At 38.7% G+C, this 20,944-nt stretch overlaps 1 long non-coding RNA gene across 3 annotated transcripts in view; it reads left to right on the top strand.

The window, feature by feature from the left end:
* Nucleotides 1-18,153, top strand: part of LOC105369612 (uncharacterized) — a 30,940-nt gene extending 12,787 nt beyond the window's left edge. The window contains exons 1-3 of one of the 3 annotated variants that reach the window (XR_931570.3): nucleotides 16,585-16,910; nucleotides 17,032-17,163; nucleotides 17,838-17,987. This is a non-coding gene — a long non-coding RNA (uncharacterized LOC105369612). Of the gene's footprint in view, nucleotides 1-16,584; nucleotides 17,164-17,837 lie in introns of those variants that run through there. The other 2 variants (XR_931569.3, XR_007063174.1) reach the window with 2 other exon arrangements.
* Nucleotides 18,154-20,944: the final 2,791 nt, after the last annotated feature.

Genomic DNA, 20,944 nt, shown 5'->3' with positions numbered 1-20,944 from the left:
CCACTGAGAATGAGTGAAAATGATTGATATGAAAAGCATGTACATTAGAGCTCTATGCCAGAGAGGGGAATTATTAACCTCACTTCCTATTTCTCACCAAGCTCCTCTATTCCTATTCATTTATTCATTCACCTATTAATCCATTCATCAAATGTATATGAAGCAAGTGTTACAGGTTGAATTGCGTCTCCCAAAAAGTTATGTTGAAGTCCTAACCCCCGGTACCTCATAATGTTACCTTATTTGGAAATGAGGGTTGTTGCAAATGTGATTACTTAAGATAAGGCCATACTGCAGTAGGATGGGCCCTTAATCCTATATGACTGGTATCCTTGCAAGAAGAGGAAAAGAGACACAGAGGCATTGATAAACAAGGGGAGAACGCCATGTGATGATGGAGACAGAGTGAAGTTTCTGCAATTGCAAGGCAACAAATGCCAAAGATTACTGGCCACCCCCAGAGCTAGGAAGAGGCAATGAAGGACTCACCCCTACATGTTTCAAAGAGAGCACAGCCCTGAGGACACCTGGATTTTGCTCTTCTTGCCTCCAGAACAGTGAAATAATAAATTTCTGTTTTCTTAAGCTACCCAGTTTGTGGCAATGTGTTGCATCAGCCCTCGGAAACTAATGTAGCAAGCAACATGGGGAGGGGAAAGAGCATATGTGGGCTTTGGAATCAGAGACATCTGGGTTTAAATTCTGTGTCTGTCATACTAGTTGTGTGATCCCGGATACATTATTTAATGTGTCTGAATCCTGCTTTCCTTACCTATATGGATGGAGAAAAGAACCCTGCCCATATGTCACAGAATCATCAGGACTATTGAATGAAATAACATGCAGACAGTACTCAGCACAGTCCTTGGTACATACGAGACACCGAGTAAAATGTTAGTTCCCCTTTAAACATTTACTATAGTCCAAGCCCTGAGTTAAATATGGGTTGCAGAGTTTAAAAGAGCACCATTTGCACCCTAGAAAGAATTAGACTTGGAGAAAAGCCAAATAAATTGAATTTTTTTGTCTCTCCCTGACATTTCCCGTCTATATGTCTGTTAGGGGTGGTGAAATCCTCCACACGGTGTATCAAGAGAGGAAACCAACACGAACTCTGTTATGCCAGACAACTTACATGGCAGCCCTGAGGTGGGGACTATTTTATTCTCATTTCCACCACAAGGACATACATAATTTCTACTACAGTCTAACCTGGATTCAGGACTCATTGCCGTGTGTTCCCAGCTCAAGTCTACCCCAGCCTCTAGAGGCACCACGACTCTCCAACAATGCTTGGGCAAACCCAGTGTTGAGATGCCCTTCCCATCTCAGGGCCTTTGCCCCTGCTGCCTTTCTACAGTCGGCGGAACACTCGTGTGCCATTTCCAATCCCCCCGGCCCTCCCTCTTCATCCAGCCTCTGTATGGCGACCATCCGCACAGGCTTCGCGCATCCTTGTTCAGGTTCCCATTACAGCACCTCAGGCAGCTGACCTGTGCCTCTGTTTCCCATTCTGGGGCCTGGGCTTCCTGGGGAATCTATTCACACAAGCACAACTGGCGGGGCCACCCTTGAGCTAAGGGATACAAGAGATTGTATCCCTTAGCTTCATCTTGGGTTCTTCATCCTGTGTTCTCAGGACCGTGGGTCAACATGCATTTCATAAGCTCCTCAGAGGAATCCCACGGGATCTAGCACCCTTTGCCCTTACTAGTGGCCGACTAAATAAAGCATTCTTGTATAAATGTTCCCTTCTTCTCTGCTCCCTAGAATCATGTTTTCAAACAAATGTTTGTCTCAAACTCTGCTTTCAGGAAATCCCAAGGTGTAGATCAAATATCCAGAAATGGAAGCCATCACCCCACCCCATTGCCATTTCCACAGCACACGGTACAGAACACTGCAGAGACAAGCTTAGTCTCCAGGTCTCAGGAGGCTCCAGCCTCTTGGATGCTCAGGCACCCAGGCCTTGCAGCTCCACCTTGCACCCTGTGCACTCTTTCGTGGAGCCCTCACCACACGCCTTTTTAACTGCAACTAGTGAGTTCTACCAGCAGAGCCCATTGGAAGAAGAGCCTGTATCTTATTCATTGTTGATGCCTAGTGCCTCGTCCAGCAGTGTCATGGCAGGTGCTCAAAGAGTCTGTTAAATGTATTCCTTGGGTTATAAGTAGAAAACTTGGGGTGTGTGCTCAGTAGCCTTGGCTCTGGTTGAAGCCCCCTGAGGCCTCCTAAGGCCCCTTGCCTGTCCCCTCCCCTCCCCCAACCCCTGCCCTCAGGGTCTTGGGAGCTTCCTACACCCAACCTCAGGGTGATTGTTAATGTCTTCCTTCTACTCCACCACTTGGCAACTTCTACTGCAGAATATCTAGTCACCTCTATTTCTCTCTTCCTATCAGGTACTACACTTCACAAGAAGGGCTCCTGAGAGTCTCCAGCTCCTTTCTTCCATGAGCTTGAGTCAGAAACTTGTAATGGCTTGTGTTGCCTATGAAAGCATTTCTTCCCAAGAAGGTGCTGCCTACATAATGTAAAATGAAATACAAGTATCAACATAATTCCAGTTGTTCATGATATAATATTAAAGGAAATGATGAACATACAAAACCACACATGCATACATGGTTTGATCTTTTTTTTTTTTTGACAGGGTCTCACTCTGTCACCCAGGCTGGAGTACAGTCACACGATCACAGCTCACTGCAGCCTCGACCACCCAAGGCTTAGGTGATCCTCCTACCTCAGCATCCCCACCCACCCCCAACCCCTGCCCCACGGTAGCTGGGACTACAGGCGCACACCACCACACCTGGGTAATTTTTGTATTTTTAGTAGGGACAGGGTTTTGCCACCTTGCCCAGGCTGCTCTCAAACTCCTGGACTCAAGCAATCCACCCACCCTGTCCTCCCAAAGTGCTGGGATTACAGGCATGAACCATAGCACCCAGCCCATGGTATGATCTTAACACACCTGCTAAAAAATTACATGCATAGAAAAAAAGCTTTTTACAACTCCTGCAAAGCGAACATAAAATAATAATAATAAAATAATAAAAATAATTAAAAATAAATAATAATTACTGGAAAATAATCACACCAAAATGTTATCTTTGGTGGCGAGATTATGTGTTTTTCTTCCTCACTGTTTTGATATTTTCTATTACTTTAAAAAATATGTTCTACATGTCTATCGTACAAAAATTAGATATTTCGTGAAAAGAAAGTCCCCCTTCCATCCCTCTTCCCCATCTACCTGGCTACTTTCTTCAGAGGCAACCACAGTTACCAGCTGCTTAATACACACACACACCCCCCCATGCATTTATACACAATATATTTTATACAAGTGGTAGCATATTATATACATTGTTCTGTACCTTGTCTTTTTTATTTATCTTAGCAATTTTTCTGAATCAGGACAAAAAGCTGCTATACAGTTTTTAATAGACCAAGCATACTATTCCATTGTATGGCTATATCAAAATTTAATTAAGTGGAGCACGGCAGCTCACACCTGTAAGCCCAGCACTTTGGGAAGCTGAGGCAGGCAGATCGTTTGAGCTCAGAAGTATGAGAACAGCGTGGGAAACATGGCAAAACCCCATCTCTACAAAAAATACAAAACTTAGCTGGATGTGGTTGTGGGTGCCTGCAGTACCAGCTACTTGGGGGCTGAGGTGGGAGGATGGCTTGAGCCTAGGAGGTTGAGGCTGCAGTGAGCCAAGGTCACACCACTGCACTCCAGCCTGGGTGACAAAGTGAGACCCTGTCTCAAAATAAAACATTAATTAATGTTTCTGTAAATAGTAATTTTTCATATGTGCAAGCATATTTGCAGGATAGATGCCTAGAAATGAAACTGTTGACTCAAAGGATATGTGAATTTGTAATTTTGATAGTTTGGCAAATGTCCCTGCATAGAAGATGCATCAATTTATACTCCCATCAACAGTATGTGAATGCTTTCACACTTTTTTTTTTTTTTTTTGAGACAGGGTTAACTCTTGTTGTTCAGACTGGAGTGTAATGGCGTGATCTCGGCTCACTGCAACCTCTGCCTCCTGGGTCTCAAGCGATTCTCCTGCCTCAGCCTCCTGAGTAGCTGGTATTACAGGTGCCCACCACCATGTCCAGCTAATTTTTTGTATTTTTAGTAGAGACGGGGTTTCCCCATGTTGACCAAGCTGGTCTCGAACTCCTGACCTTAGGTGATCCACCCGCCTCGGCCTCTCAAAGTGCTGGGATTACAGGCGTGAGCCACCATGCCCAGCCCACATTATTATTAGTAGAGTAGGTTATCGAACTTTAAAGGAAATCCTTACCAACTTTATAGGTGAAAAAAATGACGTTTCATTGTAGCTTTAATTTGCTTTTGTTTTAATGAGGCTGACATCTTTTCAAATGTTCAGGAGTTATTTGGGTTTCTTTTTTGTGAACTATTCCTGTTCTTTGTTCATTTTTCTATTGGATTGTGGCTTTTCTCTTATTTATTTTTAGTTCTCTATATGTTAATGAATGTAGCATTTTCCTGTCATATGAATTATAAATATTTTTCCCAGTTCTTTATCAATGAAGTCTTATTGAGGGATTATTATTATTTTATATTTTTGCTTTCCATAAGTTGTAAAAGGTTTTAATAGTTTGAAATTCATTAGTCTTTTTTTAATGTGTTGGAGTTTTGTGCCATACTTTCTCTCACATGAGTTATAAACTCTTCTCATGTTTTCTCGTAATTTTATGATTTCATTTAAATCTTTTGTCTATCACAATCTACTTCAGCACTAGTTGTAAAGTAGGGATCACCTTTATTGTTTCTTCATATGGATATCCAGTTGAACCAACATTATTTATTGAATGTGCAAAATTCTCACATATACTTAAATCTATTTGTGAATTTTCTATTTGATTTTAGTGGTCTTTCTACTCACATTGTTTTTCTTATTGAGGACATATAATAGGTTTTGATACATGGTAGTTTTAACTTTCCTTGTTCCTTTAATTTTTCCAAAATTTTCCTGACTATTCTTGGTAATTTTTCCACATGAAATTTAGAACCAGCTAGTTTGGTTCCCAAAAAATACCCTTTTGGTATTTTTATTGGGCTCACATTAAATTTATAGATTAACTATCTTTGACAGCTTTATGATGTGGAGAATCTAAGAACATGATGTTTCTTTGCATTGTTAAGCCTTCTTTTGTGTCCTTCCGTACCATTAACATTTTAAATTATAGGTCCTGCATATTTCTTAAGTTTATTCTTAGGAATTTTATTTTTTGTTGCCATTTTAAGTGGGATCTTTTCTTTCTTTATATCTTCTAACCAGCTATTTTTGTAGATGTGAGTGCTGTTTGATTTCCACATGTATAAATGGAATTTATTGAATTCTGTTTGAGTTTTGTAATGTTTTTATTTGATTTTTTTTCCGGATATACCAGGGAACTGTAAACTATAGCCTATGGGTCAAATCCAGTGATGGCATGTTTCTACACATCCAAGAACTAAGACTAGTTTTTACATTTTAAAACGATGGTTAAAAAAAAGAAGAAGAAGAAGAAAAATATGTGACAGCAACCATGGGCAGCCCACCAAGTCTACAATCTTTACTATTTGGACATTTAAAGTAAATGTCTGCCAACCCTTGATATATACAATAATGTCATTTACAGGTAATGATAACTGATCTCTGTCTTTCTAATTTTATGTCTGATTTCTGTTTCTTCTTTAATTACATTTTCTGGTTCCTGGATAGTGAACATCCTTGTCCTGTTCTGAGATTAATAGGATTCCTTTTCATATTTTTGTACTTAGGAGGATACTTGACTTTTAGGTGTGATAGATGTATGCTCTCATGTAAAGAAAATACTCATTTATTCTTATTTTCTTAAGCGTTTTACAGAAGAAAAGATGTTTAATTTTATTTTTCAGCATCTATGTAGAATTTTATCTTTTAATCTATTAAAATGAAGAATTATATCAAAGATTTAAAAATATTGAATTACCCTTACAAATTCTGGGATCAACACTTTCTTTGGGTATTCATAAGTGAAAATCGTTTGCTTATTTTTATTTAAAGGTTGTCAGGTTTACTTCATCCACAAATATAATTTGAAGGCTTTTCTTTCTAAAAGTCAAAGATACAGGTACCAACAATTTAAAGAAGCAATTAACTACAAGATTTATTATAAGAAGGAGAACTCCCCTGGTCCACTTCTTATCTCATCTCCTAGTCTCTAGAAGCAACAACTTTTGATTCTTTTGGTAAAGCCATTTCTTTTGGTATTTACTTTCACATATTTAAATAATAGTTTATACTTCCATCTTGAATTTCTACTTAGGAATTACTTATTAAATTCTTATAATGGAAAGTGAGAAATTAGCTTTCTTTTTACTCCAACTCTACCACATCACACAAATACACTTTTGGCTTCACTACCCTTCCAATACAATTACAATTTTCCTTAGATCAATATTCAAAATTAACATCATTATATATTATGCATTCATAGTTTAACCATATAACACATTATGACCTAGTTTACTTTTATACATAATTTTTGTTTTGTTTTTTTCAATAGTTATTAATTGCCTTTCAGTTTTTTTCTTTGTTTAGTTTTCTATGTACCTATAGCTAATTTACCCCTGTGCTTCTCAGCCTGTTCAGATATATCAAGTATTTCATCAGTTTCATCTTCTTGAAGACATTGCTCTCTTGGAGCCTTCTAACTGGCTCCACAATTTACTGGTTACTTTCTAGGCTTGGTGCACAGGTATAATCCTAGTATATGCCTGCAGAAACATCCTGGGAATTTCCTTTGACTTTCTCTTTTGTTGGATTCTCTATTTCCTTGATCCAGTGAGTATTTGTTAGAATACAGTTTGACTTCTATAATTGATAACTAAAATAACAGTCAAATAGATAAGATAGAAGTTTATTTCTGTCTTACGTAGTGGTCTGGGCATAAGCAGCTCAGGACTGGTAGGTGGTCTATTTTACTGTTCCTTCTCAAGGCTGTTGCTCTGACACGTATAATTCAAAATGTCTCACTGACTTGTTTTTACTTTAGCTTAGTAGGGGGAGAGAAAGAGAGGACATGGAGGGCATATCCCTTTAAGCTCAATACTTAGAACATAGCTCACTTCATTTCCATGATCATATCTCATTGACAAAGAACCTAGTTACATGCTGCCTCTAGCTGCAAGGAAGCCTGGGAAGTGTCATCTTTATTAGCATGGCCAGATGCTCTGTTTAGACATAGTGAAGTCTATCATTACAATGAAAGAAAGAAAGGTATTGAGAGAAAAGTAACAGTATTTCCATGGTATGCTTTCCTTAGTTTACTTTCCCTTTTTAGAGCACCTCCTAGTATTTCCTGAGAAAGAACCCAGGGGAGGTAAAGGTTTTGAGATCTTTCATGTGAGAAATATCTTAATTATTATCTTCACTTAGTTGATAGTCTGGATAGATATAGAATTCTTGGTTGAGAATTGTTGTTCTTCAAAATTATGAAGGCATTTTTCAATGTTTTCCTAAATTTCAGTGTTGCTCTTGAGAAGTCTGATGTTAGTCTTTTTAATGAGCCTTGGTTTGTAGTAATCTGTGTTTTTACTTTCTAGAAACTAAGGATATTCTCTAATTCTCAGGAGCTCTGAAATACAATAATATAACTTGGTGTAAATTTATTTTTGTCTATGTGCTAGTCACTCAACAAGACTTTTCAATATGGAAACCCATGCCTTTCAATTCTAGATAAGTTTTTCTAGAATTATTTCTTCGATAATGTCTGCACCTACATTTCTTTTCTGTTCTCTTTTCTGGAACTCTTATAATTTGGGTGTAGGATTGCTTTGATGTATCTTCTAATTTGGCTGTTTTTCTTTCTTATTTTTCATTTCTTTGCTTTATTGCTGCACTTTGGAAGACTTTTTCAACCTTATCTTTTAATTTGTCTACTAACGTTTCATGTTTGCTCTCATATTTCACTCTTTTACAATGGCATTGGCTACTTCCTCCAGAATAAAGTTAAATAACAGTGAAAATAGTGGAATATTGATTCTGTTCTTACCCTTTTGGGGAATGTTTCTAGAAATTTTCTGTTAAGCATCCTGCTAGTCAGTTGATATGATAGATTTAACTGTCTATCAAGCTATCACTGTCATTTCCTTCCGTTTCTTCTCAAATGTCACTTTAGCAGTAATCCCTAAACAGCATATAAAAAAATAGCCTTCCTCCAATCACCTGTAGCACATTTTATGTTTTTACCTGCTTTATTAACACTTATAACCACCAGGCACACACTATTTGTGTGTTTATTACTGCCTTTAAAAGGCAAGGACAATGAGGATAAGAATTTCTTGTCTGTTTGTTTAGCACTATACTGCAACACCCAGAATCGTGTCTCTCACATAGCAGGTACTCAAGTATTTCTTGAATAAGTAGTTATATACGTAATGACTTCTCATGTTAAATGTACTTCCATTTTTTTCTGTTTTATTGACAGATAAATTTCTTCAAATGCCTGTTTAGTATCTATAAGAAAGACAATATTTAGTCTTTGCTCTATTAATATGGTAAACTGCATTAGCAGATATCCTAATTTTGGACCATCCTTACATTTCCTAAATTGACTCCAGTCGTAGTATAATATATTTAGTCACGGTATAGTATATTTTTAATGTGCTTCTGGTTTCTATTTGTTAATGTTTTATTTAGAATGTTTGCTTTGGTGTTCATGATATTCATTGGTAAGGTTGGGTTTGAGGTTTTCTTTGCTGTGCTTAGGAGTTAAATTTTCTGCATCGATCGAGATAATCATTTTTTTTCTTCTGTTAATATGTTTCTGTCTTTTAATATGGTAAATTATATTCAGTGACTATCAATGCTGAACCAGCATTGCATTCCTAGTATAATCCTCACTTCTATTGTAAAATGTTGTATTGTTATCCCTTTTATATATTGCTGAATTTGATCAGGATTTTCTCATCTATGTTCATGAGGGATATGGGTCTGTAGTTTTCTTGAAATTCATTTGTCTGATTTTGGTATCAGAATAATGTTTGGCTCACAAAATGAGTTGGGAAATGTTTCCTTCTATTTTCTGGAGAAATTGTGTATAATTGGTATTCTCTAAACATTTGATATAATTCAGCAGAAAAATCATTTGGGCCTAAAGTTTTATTTCTGGGAAGGTTTTTAAGTACAAATTCAATTTCTGGCCGGGTGCGGGTGGCTCACGCCTGTAATCCCAGCGCTTTGGGAGGCTGAGGCGGGCGGATCACGAGGTCAGGAGATGGAGACCACGGTGAAACCCCGTCTCTACTAAAAATACAAAAAATTAGCCGGGCATGGTGGCGAGCGCCTGTCCCAGCTACTCTGGAGGCTGAGGCAGGAGAATGGCGTGAACCCGGGAGGTGGAGCTTGCAGTGAGCCAAGATCGCGCCATTGCACTCCAGCCTGGGCGACAGAGCGAGACTCCGTCTCAAAACAAAAACAAAAAAACAAATTCACTTTCTTTAATAAATATAGGGCTATTCAGGCCGGGCACGGTGGCTCATGCCTGTAATCCCAGCACTTTGGGAGGCCAAGGCGGGCAGATTACGAGGTCAGGAGTTCGAGACCAGCCTGACCAGCATAGTGAAACCCCGTCTGTACTAAAAATACAAAAAAATTAGCCAGGCGTGGGGGCGGGAGCCTGTAATCTTAGCTACTCGGGAGGCTGAGGCAGGAGAATCACTTGAACCTGGGAGGTAGAGATTGCATTTAGCCAAGATCGTGCCACTACACTCCAGCCTGGGCAACAGCGCTAGACTCCGTCTTAAATAGATAAATAAATAAGTACAGGGCTATTCAAGGAATCTGTTTCTTTTGGGTGAGTTTTGGTAGTTTGTGGCTTTCAAGAAGTATGTCATTTCTTTTAAACTGTAGAATCTATGGGCATAGGTTTGTTTGAAGCATTCCTTTATTATTCTTTTAGTATCTTCAGAGTTGTGGTGACATAATTCCTTTTTCCTCCCCAATACTGGTAATTTATGTCTTCTCTCATATTTCTTTTTCAGTATGACTTGAGGTTTATCCATTTTATTGATCCCTTCAAAGTATGCATTTTTGGTTTTATTGGCTTTCTTTTTTGTTTTTAATTATACTGATTTTCGTTGAGTTTATTATCTTCTTCTTGTTAACACAAGCATTTAAATGCTATACATTTCCTTCTGAGCACTGCTTTAACTACATCCTACAAATTTGGATATGTCGTATTTTATTTTATTTAGTCCAAACTATTTTCTAGTTTTCCTTGAGATCTCCTTTGATCCATATATTATTTAGAAATATATTGCTTAATTTCCAACTATTTAAAATTTTTCAACAAAAGACAAAATTGACAAATGGGATCTAATTAAACTAAAGATCTTCTGCACAGCAAAAGAAACTACCATCAGAGTGAACAGGCAACCTACAAAATGGGAGAAAATTTGTGCAACCTACTCATCTGACAAAGGGCTAATATCCAGAATCTACAATGAACTCCAACAAATTTACAAGAAAAAAACAAACAACCCCATCAAAAAGTGGGCAAAGGACATGAACAGACACTTCTCAAAAGAAGACATTTATGCAGCCAAAAAACACATGAAAAAATGCTCACCATCACTGGCCATCAGAGAAATGCAAATCAAAACCACAATGAGATACCATCTCACACCAGTTAGAATGGCAATCATTAAAAAGTCAGGAAACAACAAGTGCTGGAGAGGATGTGAAGAAATAGGAACACTTTTACACTGTTGGTGGGACTGTAAACTAGTTCAACCATTGTGGAAGTCAATGTGGCGATTCCTCAGGGATCTAGAACTAGAAATACCATTTGACCCAGCCATCCCATTACTGGGTATATACCCAAAGGACTATAAATCATGCTGCTATAAAGACACATGCACATGTATGTTTATTGCGGCACTATTCACAATAGCAAAGACTTGGAACCAACCCAAATGTCCAACAATGATAGACTGGATTAAGAAAATGTGGCACATATACACCATGGAATACTATGCAGCCATAAAAAAGGATGAGTTCATGTCCTTTGTAGGGACATGGATGAAATTGGAAATCATCATTCTCAGTAAACTATCACAAGAACAAAAAACCAAACACCACATATTCTCACTCATAGGTGGGAATTGAACAATGAGATCACATGGACACAGGAAGGGGAACATCACACTCTGGGGACTGTTGTGGGGTGGGGGGAGGGGGGAGGGATAGCATTGGGAGATATACCTAATGCTAGATGACAAGTTAGTGGGTGCAGCGCACCAGTGTGGCACATGTATACATATGTAACTAACCTGCACAATGTGCACATGTACCCTAAAACTTGAAGTATAATAATAAAAGAAAAAAATAAAAATAAAAAAAAGAAAATTTTTTTTCAGATATCTTTCTGTTATCGATTTCTATTTTAATTCTGTTGTGAACAGAGAATATCCAAGGTGGGCAGATCACCTGAGCTCAGGAGTATACAAGATCTACATTTTTTTTTAAAGCTTAATAGTGTTTCTTTATGGCCTAGAATATGATCTGTCTTGGTGAATGTTCCATGTGCATTTGAAAAGAATGTTTATTTTAGATTTAGTAGAGTGTTCTATAAATATCAATTAGGGTAAGTGAGTTCATAGGTTGCTCAGTTCTTATATTGTCTTGCTGATTTCCTGTTTGTTGTATTGATTACTGAAGTAGTTTTGAAATTTCTAAATACAATGTGGATTTTACTAATTTTTCTCCTCCCCCTCCCCTCCTTCTTCTTCATCTAAATTGCACTCTAAATATTAATATGTAGTTCTGTTGTCTTCCGACCTGTACTATTTCTGACAATAAGTGATCCCTCTCCTTTCACCCCAACCCCACTCTCTAGTTGTTTTGAATATTTTCTCCTCTTCACTGATTTTTAGCAATTTAATTATAATGTGCCCTGCGTGGTTTTATTTGTTGTTGTTGTTGTTGTGTGTGTGTGTGTTTGTTTTTGTTTAGCTTGGAGTTTGCTGAGATTCATGGATCTGTGAGTTCATACTTTCCATCAAATTTGGAACATTTTTGACTATTATTTCTTCACATACTTTCAGCCTCTCATCCCCTTTCTGAAACTGTAGTGTTGGGCTTTTTGATATGGTGATGGTGGTGGTCACTGAGGATCTGCTCCTTTTTTGCCAGTGTTTTAAAATCTTTACACTGATCTTCACTGAGGGTTGTTTTTGGTTTTTGGTTTTTGGTTTTGTTTTTGCTGTGCTTAATCTGCATTTAGTCTCTCCAGTGAATTTTTATTTTCAGATATTGTATTTCTAAGCTCTAAGCTATACAAGTTACTTAGTTCATTTTTACATCTTCCATTTCTTTATTCATTCTATTTATCTTTTCCTTTAAATTTGATATTTAAAACAGATGCTGTGATGGCCTCAATGGCTAATCTCATCGTATCTGCTGTTCCTGGATCTCCTTCTACTGACTAATTTTTTTCCTGGCTATGAGTCATATTTTCTTGCTTCTTGACATGTCTAGTAGAATTGGATTGAATGGGTACGTCGTGATGACAAAGTCGTTGAGTGCTGGATTGTGTAGTCCTCCTTTAAGAGTGTTTCAGTTAGTTTTGTCAGACAGTTTAGTTATTTGTGGATCAGCTTGATCCTTTCTGGACTTGTTTTTAAGCTTTGTTAAGGTAAATCTGAAGTAAGCTTTTCACTAGGATGAATTTAACCCTACTACTAAAACATGACCCTGCTGGGGATTAAAATCTCGGGTATTAAATGAGGTTTCTTTCTTTTTTTTTCTTTTTTTTGAGACTGAGTCTGGCTCTGTTGCCCAGGCTAGAGTGCAGTGGCATAATCTTGGCTCACTGCAACCTCTGCCTCCAGGGTTCAAGTGATTCTCCTGCCTCAGCCTCCCGAGTAGCTGGGATTACAGGCATGCACCACCCCACCCAGCTAATTTTCCTATTGTTAGTAGAGATGGGGATTCACCATGTTGGCCAGGCTGGTCTCGAACTCCTGACCTCAGGTGATCTGCCCGCCTCGACCTTCCAAAGTGCTGAGATTACAGGCGTGGGCCACCATGCCTGGCCTTAAATGAGGTTTCTTTTTTTTATATTTTTATACTTTTTATTTTTTTGAGACAGAGTCTCACTCTGTTGCCTGGGCTGGAGTGTGGTGGCATGATCTCGGCTCACTGCAACCTGCGCCTCCCAGGTTCAAGCAATTCTCCTGTTTCAGCCTCCCGAGTAGCTGGGACTTGGGACTCCAGGCACACGCCACCACACCCAGCTAATTTTTGTATTTCTAGTAGAGATGGGATTTCGCCATATTCGTCAGGCTGGTCTCGAACTCCTGGCCTCAGGTGATCCACCCGCCTCAGCCTCCCAAAGGGCTGGGATTACACGTGTGAGCCACTACGCCTGGCCCTAAATGAGATTTCTTTACCCTTATTGGTGGAGGCTTAATGTCTCCCAGCTCTGAATGGGCACTGAGACTTATCGGCTCCCAGTGTCCAGTAGTCATTCTTTCCTGGTGGTTTTCTTTATCTGGTCTCATGAAGTTTTATTCTATACATGTACAGCTTAGTATTCAACCAAAGACTCAAAGGAATCGCTATGTAGATATTGGAGTTCTTTCTCTACAGAACTTCCTCTTATCAATATTCTGCCCCACAAACTCCAGCCACCTCAACCTCCCCAAACCCTGTTCCTCTTCTTTGTGCTGTGGTTCAGATAGAAACCAGGGAAATTGCAGGGCTTACCTCATTATTTTCTTTCTCTCAAGGATGAAAGTCTTGCACTACCTGTTGTTTAATATGTGAAAACTTGTTCCATACATTTAATCTAGCTTTCTAGTTGCTTATAGAGATGGGGCAAATTTGCTTCCATGCATTCCATCATGGCCAGAAGGTGGAAATCTCTGGAGATTTTATTGGAATCATACTAAATATGCATATCAAATCTTCCATCCCAAAGATATTTTCTGTCTGTCCACACACTTGGTATTTCTTTAGTGTTGTTTATTTAAGAGCTAATGCATAAAGCCAAGCGTGGTGGCTCATGCCTGTAATCCTAGCACTTTGGGAGGCCAAAGCGGGCAGATCACCTGAGCTCAGGAGTTCGAGATCAGCCTGGCAAACATGGCAAAACCCCATCTCCACTAAAAATACAAAAAAATTGATCAGGCATGGTGGCATACAGCTGTCGTCCCAGCTACTCTGGCGGTTGAGGCACGAGAATCACTTGAACCTGGGAGGCAGAGGTTGCAGTGAACTGAGATCACACCACTACATCTCAAAAAAAAAAAAAAAAGAACTAGAGCTAATGAACACAAATATCAGAAAGCATTAAAATGTATAATGTGAAAGGTTCCCCTCCCATTTATTCTCACAAATTCCCTTCTACTCCAAATAGAAAACCACTGTTATTAGTCTTTTATATCTTTCCAGATGAAATTTTAATGTGAAAACAGGAAGATAGAATACACACTCTTCTGCACAGCAATTTTTTGTGTGTAACAATGTATCTTGGCGTTGTTTCTATAGAAGTACATCAAAACTTTCCTTATGGTTTGTTTCATCACAGCTGATTATAATTCATATTAATGCTACTTCATAATTTGTTTCAGCAGTCTCTTATTGATGGATATTTTTTAAAATTAATGAGAATTTTGCAATATTGCAGGATAATCAATACACAAAATGATTATAATTATCATCATTTGATAGGTTTTTGAAATACTATCTAATCCATTATTTATCTATCTTATCTATCATCTATCTATCTATTTATCTATCTATCTATCATCTACCAATCACCTAAGAATTATTGATCTTTTTGTTGTTCTCTTGAGACATATCTTCCAGAGATAGCTGCTATCCATTCTCTTCTGCTGTTTAGGGGTACTTTGATGGAAACTTTTGAAAGCAGTAAGTAATGGAAGTTTATTATTGAGTCAGAAGGAACTAGGGCTGAATTTCAGCTATTCCACTTTCTCAAACTCTCTAAACCTGTTTATTTTATGTTATTTTATTTTATTTTGAGACGGAGTCTCGCTCTGTCACCCAGGCTGGAGTGCAGTGGCATGATCTCAGCTCACTGCAACCTCCGACTCCCGGGTTCAAGCAATTCCCTGCCTCAGCCTCCTGAGTAGCTGGGATTACAGGCACCCGCCACCACGCCTGGCTAATTTTTGTATTTTTAGTAGAGACGGGGTTTCACCATCTTGGTCAGGCTGGGCTTGAACTCCTGACATCGTGATCCACCCACTTTGGCCTCCCAACGTGCTAGGATTACAGGCGTGTTTCCCACAATTTCCTGGACAAATTATGTTCCAGGAAAATATTTGATAATGAACTATCTAAATTGATATGTATCTCAGCAAATTTACTGGAATTCTAGGATTAAGGATTTTTTAAATCAGAAAAATGATAAAAATAATAAATAATGTTATGGGCATCCAAACAAAAATTCAAGTTACCTATGAGGAAAAATACTATCAGGCTGGCTGAGACTTCAACAAAAAAAATTCTTACATTAGAGGAAAGTGAAGCAAGGTCTATAAAACCTCAAGGAAATGGTGTCACACAAGAACAGTATAAACAAAGAGCTGTCATTTCATATAAAAGCACTGACAGATATTTTTAATCATATGCAATTTTGTAAATATACAAAATATATACAAAATACAAAAAAATACTGCTTAACAAACCTTCTTGAATATCTATTAGATTAAGCATATGAAATAGGCATTTTTCTGAGCAACAGTGGTCAAATATCAGCAATTTTATATGGTTTCACATAATATTTATTCACAAAAAGATAAATGAAAAAGCTATGTTGAAAAAATTTAAATATAGAATACAATTTTAAAAGTGTATGACTTGTGGTTTCAGAACAGAATGTAAGTGCTATCAATTTGACAAGGTGGAAATAATAAAGGGCCGGGCATGGTGGCTCACACCTGTAATCCCAGCACTTTGGGAGGCCAAGGCAGGTGGATCACCTGAGGTCAGGAGTTCGAGACCAGCCCGACCAACATGGAGAAACCCCGTCTCTACTAAAAATACAAAAAAATTAGCTGGGCATGGTAGTGCATGCCTGTAACCCCAGCTACTCGGGAGGCCGAGGCAGAAGAATCGCTTGAACCCAGGAGGCGGAGGTTGCAGTGAGCCGAGATTGCGCCATTGCACTCCAGCCTGGGCAACAAGAGCAAAATTCCATCCCAGAAAAATAAATAGTAATAAAAGTAATAAGAAATGTTGAGATGGAGGAAGAAGAGGTTAGAAGAAGTTTAATTATACCTATTTCTTCATCATTAATATGGGGAGCAGGGAGGTCCGTAATCAACAGAATCTGTTTAACACCAGTATGAATTGGCGAGCCCCTGTCTTAGACCATTTTGTGTTGCTATAAAGGAATACCTAAGGCTGGGTAATTTATGAAGAAAAGAAGTTCATTTGACTCACAGCTCTGCAGACTGTAAGAAGCATGGTGCCAGCATGTGCTTCCGGTGAGGGCCTCAGATTGCTTTACTCTTGGTGAAAGGGGAAGGAGAGCAAGCATCCAATGGCAATAGAGGAAAAAACAGAGAGGGGAGGGGGTGCCAGGCTCTTTTTAACAATCAGATGTTGTGGGGACTGATAGAGAGGGAAGTCACTCATTGCTCTGAGGATGGCACCAAGCCTTTCAAGAGGGATCTGCTCCCACGACTGAAATATCTCCCAGCAGACCCCAACTCCAAAACTGGGGATCACATTTCAATATGAGATTTGGAGGGACTAACATAGAGACTATATCAGCCCCCATTTATCTGTAATCCTTCTCTTTCTTTAATAGAAGTTGGAGAGCTAAAATTGTAGCCATCTCAACATCCTTTGCAACTAGGGAGAGTAAGACAGCACCATTTCTACCCCATGCGATATATGTGCAGATCTGCTTGGAGAGGGTCTCTTTTTTGAATAAAAAGACAAAGCTACAAAAGAAGAAAATGGCTCTGTTCTTTCTGCCTAGATGTAGACAAGACCCCAGGAGCTGCAGCAGTCATCTGCTCACACTGAAGTTCGTAGAACTAAAAGACGGAAGGAGCCTGGGATGCTGATGAAATTGTGAAGCTACTGACACAAGCCCTGGACTGCCTATCTCGTAAGCTTTTATTTAAGCCTTCTTATTTAACAAGTTATTGATTATTAAAGCCAAACTCTTTTTTAACTGATCCAGAGTTTGGTACCCATAGGTGAGGCACGGTAAGCAGCAGAGTCTAGTGCATAGAACTGGCTGAAAGGAGAGCACAGATTAATCTTTCATGGCACAGGTCTGGAGGTAGACAAACCTGTGCTTGTGTCCTGGCCCTGCCACTAACTGGCTTTGTACCCTGGTCAAATTACTTAATCCACGACTTCCTTTCCTCATCTTACATCTGCATGATGAAAACAGTATTTTTAACACTATTTTGTACATTAAAAGAGAAATGCATGTGTATAACACAGCGGCTGGCACATAATTGTGCCAACTAATGGTAGCTTTTTAAAAGCCACGGGTAAGCTGGGGCCACTGTACCTTTCTAAGACATGATTATATTTGGCTTGAACCCCTATTCCACAACCTGTGAAAATCTAGACCTTACCTGTGATAGGAAGACTTCCAAGGTGGCCCCAGTGACTCCTGCCTCTTGGTATTCCTGTCCTTGTATAGAACTCCCTCTGCTTGAGTAGGAGCTGGACCTATTGACTTAATTTTAATCAATACAATATGGCAAAGTTGAAGGGACATCACTTCTGTGATTAGGTTACAAGATATTTTGACTTCTCTCTTGCTAGTGGACTCTACTGGATGGGTCCACATGGCAAGGAACCAAGGGTAGCCTCTGGCCAGCAACCAGAGAAGATAAAGATCTCCAACAACGTCTGCGTTTGGAAGAGGATTGTTCTTCCGTAGAGTTTTCTGATGAGGCCCCAGCCTTGGCAACATCTTGACTGTCTCCTTGTAAAGGGACCTTGAGACAGAGGACTCAGCTCAGCCGTGCCAGACTCCTGACTCACAGAAACAGTGAGATTATAAAAACAAACTGTTTTAAGCCACTAAGTTTTGAGTAATTTGTCACACAGTAGATAATAAACTTCCATAGAATCTTGATATTGATCATATTTCTCTTTGCCTTAACAATCTTGTGTCTGTGCCCCTACCCTGTTTTCCACAAAAATATCCAGAGAGACCCAACTATTTTGCGAGTGAGGTATTTTTCATGAGAATTTAGGGCAAGCAGAGACTTCATCCTCTCTCCTCTCTTTTCCTTTCCCCTGAGCAATGGACAATAGCATATTATTTACCTTGACCTGTGACAAACAGTTCTACCCATATTCAGGCCCAAGCACCTGTCAAAAACTACAGTTTCCCTAAAGGAAAACTAATGATTATAGTAAAAAAGACACCTGCATTCATATGTTTATTGCAGCACTATTCACAATAGCAAAGTCATGGAATCAATGTAAGTGTCCAGCAACAGATTCAGAAGGTACAGAAAATGTGGATACAAAAAATGTGGTGTGTGTGTGTATATATATATATATATATATGTATTTATTTATATATGTGTGTGTATATATATGTATATACCACAGTTAGTATTCCATGGTGTGTATATATATAATATTAATATTAATATAGGTACCAATATAGTACTTAGTATTAATTAGGATTACGATACTAATTAATAGTATATTGCTAATACTAATTAGTACCAATATTAATGTTAGTATTAATATTAATTAGTATAGTAATACTAATTGGTATATAATATATAGTACATATAGTATATAGAATGTTATATATACTATATGTATATATGTACTATATACATATATATAATATGTGTATATATATGTATATATGTATATATATACTATATGTATATAGTAGAATTAATACTAATACTTTAGTATACTAAATAATTAGAATTAATATTAGTACTAAAGTGTAGCATTAACTCTATATAGTATTAATATAGTAATATATTAATAATTAATACTTGATACTCATTAACATATACTGTATTTATATATTACCATATATTAGTATACTGTAATATATGAATATACTATATTTATATGTTATAATACTATTAATACCATATAAATAGATAGTATATATTAATGTATCAATTATTAATTATTTATTTATTAATAATTAATATATCAATACTAGATATGGTATAAATACTACACACACACACACACACACACACACACACCTTGGAATACTATTCAGCCACAAAACAGAATGAAATCATGCCTTTTGCAGCAACATGGATGAAACTGGAGGATACTCTCCTAAATGAAATAACTCAGAAACAGAAAGTCAAATACTGCATATTCTCACTCACAAGTTAGCGCTAACACTGGGTACACACGGACGTACAGAGTAGCATAACAGACACTGGAGGCTGCAAAAGGTGGGAGGGTGGGAGGGGGTGACGGAGGAAAAATTACCCATTGGGTACAACGTACGCAATTTGGGTGATGGCTACACTAAAAGCCCAGACTTTCCACTATGCAATATATCCATGTAACACAAGTGCACTTGTACCACCTATATCTATTTATTAAAGTACAATTTCCCTCCTAAGAGAAATTCTGGAGAATCCAAGTTTTTCTATCTCGTTACATAGCATTAGTATTGCCGTTCGTGGACCAAAACTAAATTGAAAGGAACAATGGGCAAATAGGAGAATAGAAGTAGAAGTCTGAGACAGACATGGTGTGATTCTGAAAAGAGAAGAAGAAACTCCCGTGTGCACAGAGAAAAGACGAAAAAAAGAAGATGCATTTTCACTTTAGCAAGAGATAGAGGAGCTAAGATCTTTCCTGCAAGGCAGTGGGCTGCATGTTCAGTTATTCATTTGTCTGGAATCTTTAGATGTCACCCCTTCTGGAGGCCAAAGAATGATGTCAATCTGGAGGCCAACAGATTCTCATCAGCCGTCTGAAGAGCACGGTATTATTCTCAGTCCAAATGGGAAAGATCAGAGAGAATACCTTCTCTGGGCTCACTCAGCAGATAGCACTGCCTTCGCCTGAATTTGCTGCCTGACTCTTGTGATGTCCCCTAGACCTTGCCACCTGACTGGGTTTAAAAGGTAGAGGCCAGAGGAAAACAACTCCTTATTTTCTGTCTAACATTGGTGAGAGAGGATGAGTATCAGAACGAAGCCAAGTCCTTGAAATGAAAGCTTTGGGCATGAACAATAGAGAATTACTGATACTCAGTATATGGGAGTGGTAACGTCCTGGAGATTGAACACTTTCAGAGAAAACTGTTGGCGACTGGAATTGAGAGGCAGAGATAAGGGCCAAGTACTCAGCACTGAAGATGGTATAGAGGCCGTGGGTAACAGTGTGTTCTGGCACACAGACATCCACATGTACACCTCTCCTTTCTTTTTCTTTTTTCGTTTTTGAGACAGGGTCTCACTCTGTCGCCCAGGCTGGAGTGCAGTGGCACTATCTCAGCTCACTGCAACCTCCACCTCCCTGGCTCAAGTGATTCTCCCACCTCAGCCTCCCGAGTAGCTGGGACTACAGGCGTGCGCCACAATGCCCCTGGCTAACTTTTGTATTTTTTGCAGAGATGTGGTTTTGTCATGTTGCTCAGGCTGGTCTTGAACTCCTGGACTCAAGTGATCCGCTCTCCTTGGCCTCCCAATGTATTTGGCATTGTCCTCCTGGCCCCTCATGCCCTGGTGTTTATCTTCAATCCAGGTTAGGAAGTGGTAGGGCTGGGATTCTACTCAGGCTTCCTGACTCCAATTCAAGGCTTTTTCTGCAAGGTGTAGGAAGTGCTACATACTCAGTGGTCTGTCGCTTAGAAATCCAATTGCCCTTTGAAGGAGAGAAGAGGGATTACTAGAACACACAGAAGGACCCAAACT

Source organism: Homo sapiens, chromosome 12 (assembly GCF_000001405.40).
Source record: "Homo sapiens chromosome 12, GRCh38.p14 Primary Assembly".
NCBI classification, from domain to species: Eukaryota; Metazoa; Chordata; class Mammalia; order Primates; family Hominidae; genus Homo; species Homo sapiens.
The sequence above is the reverse complement of the archived record's forward strand: the minus strand, read 5'-3'. Positions and strand labels throughout refer to the sequence as shown.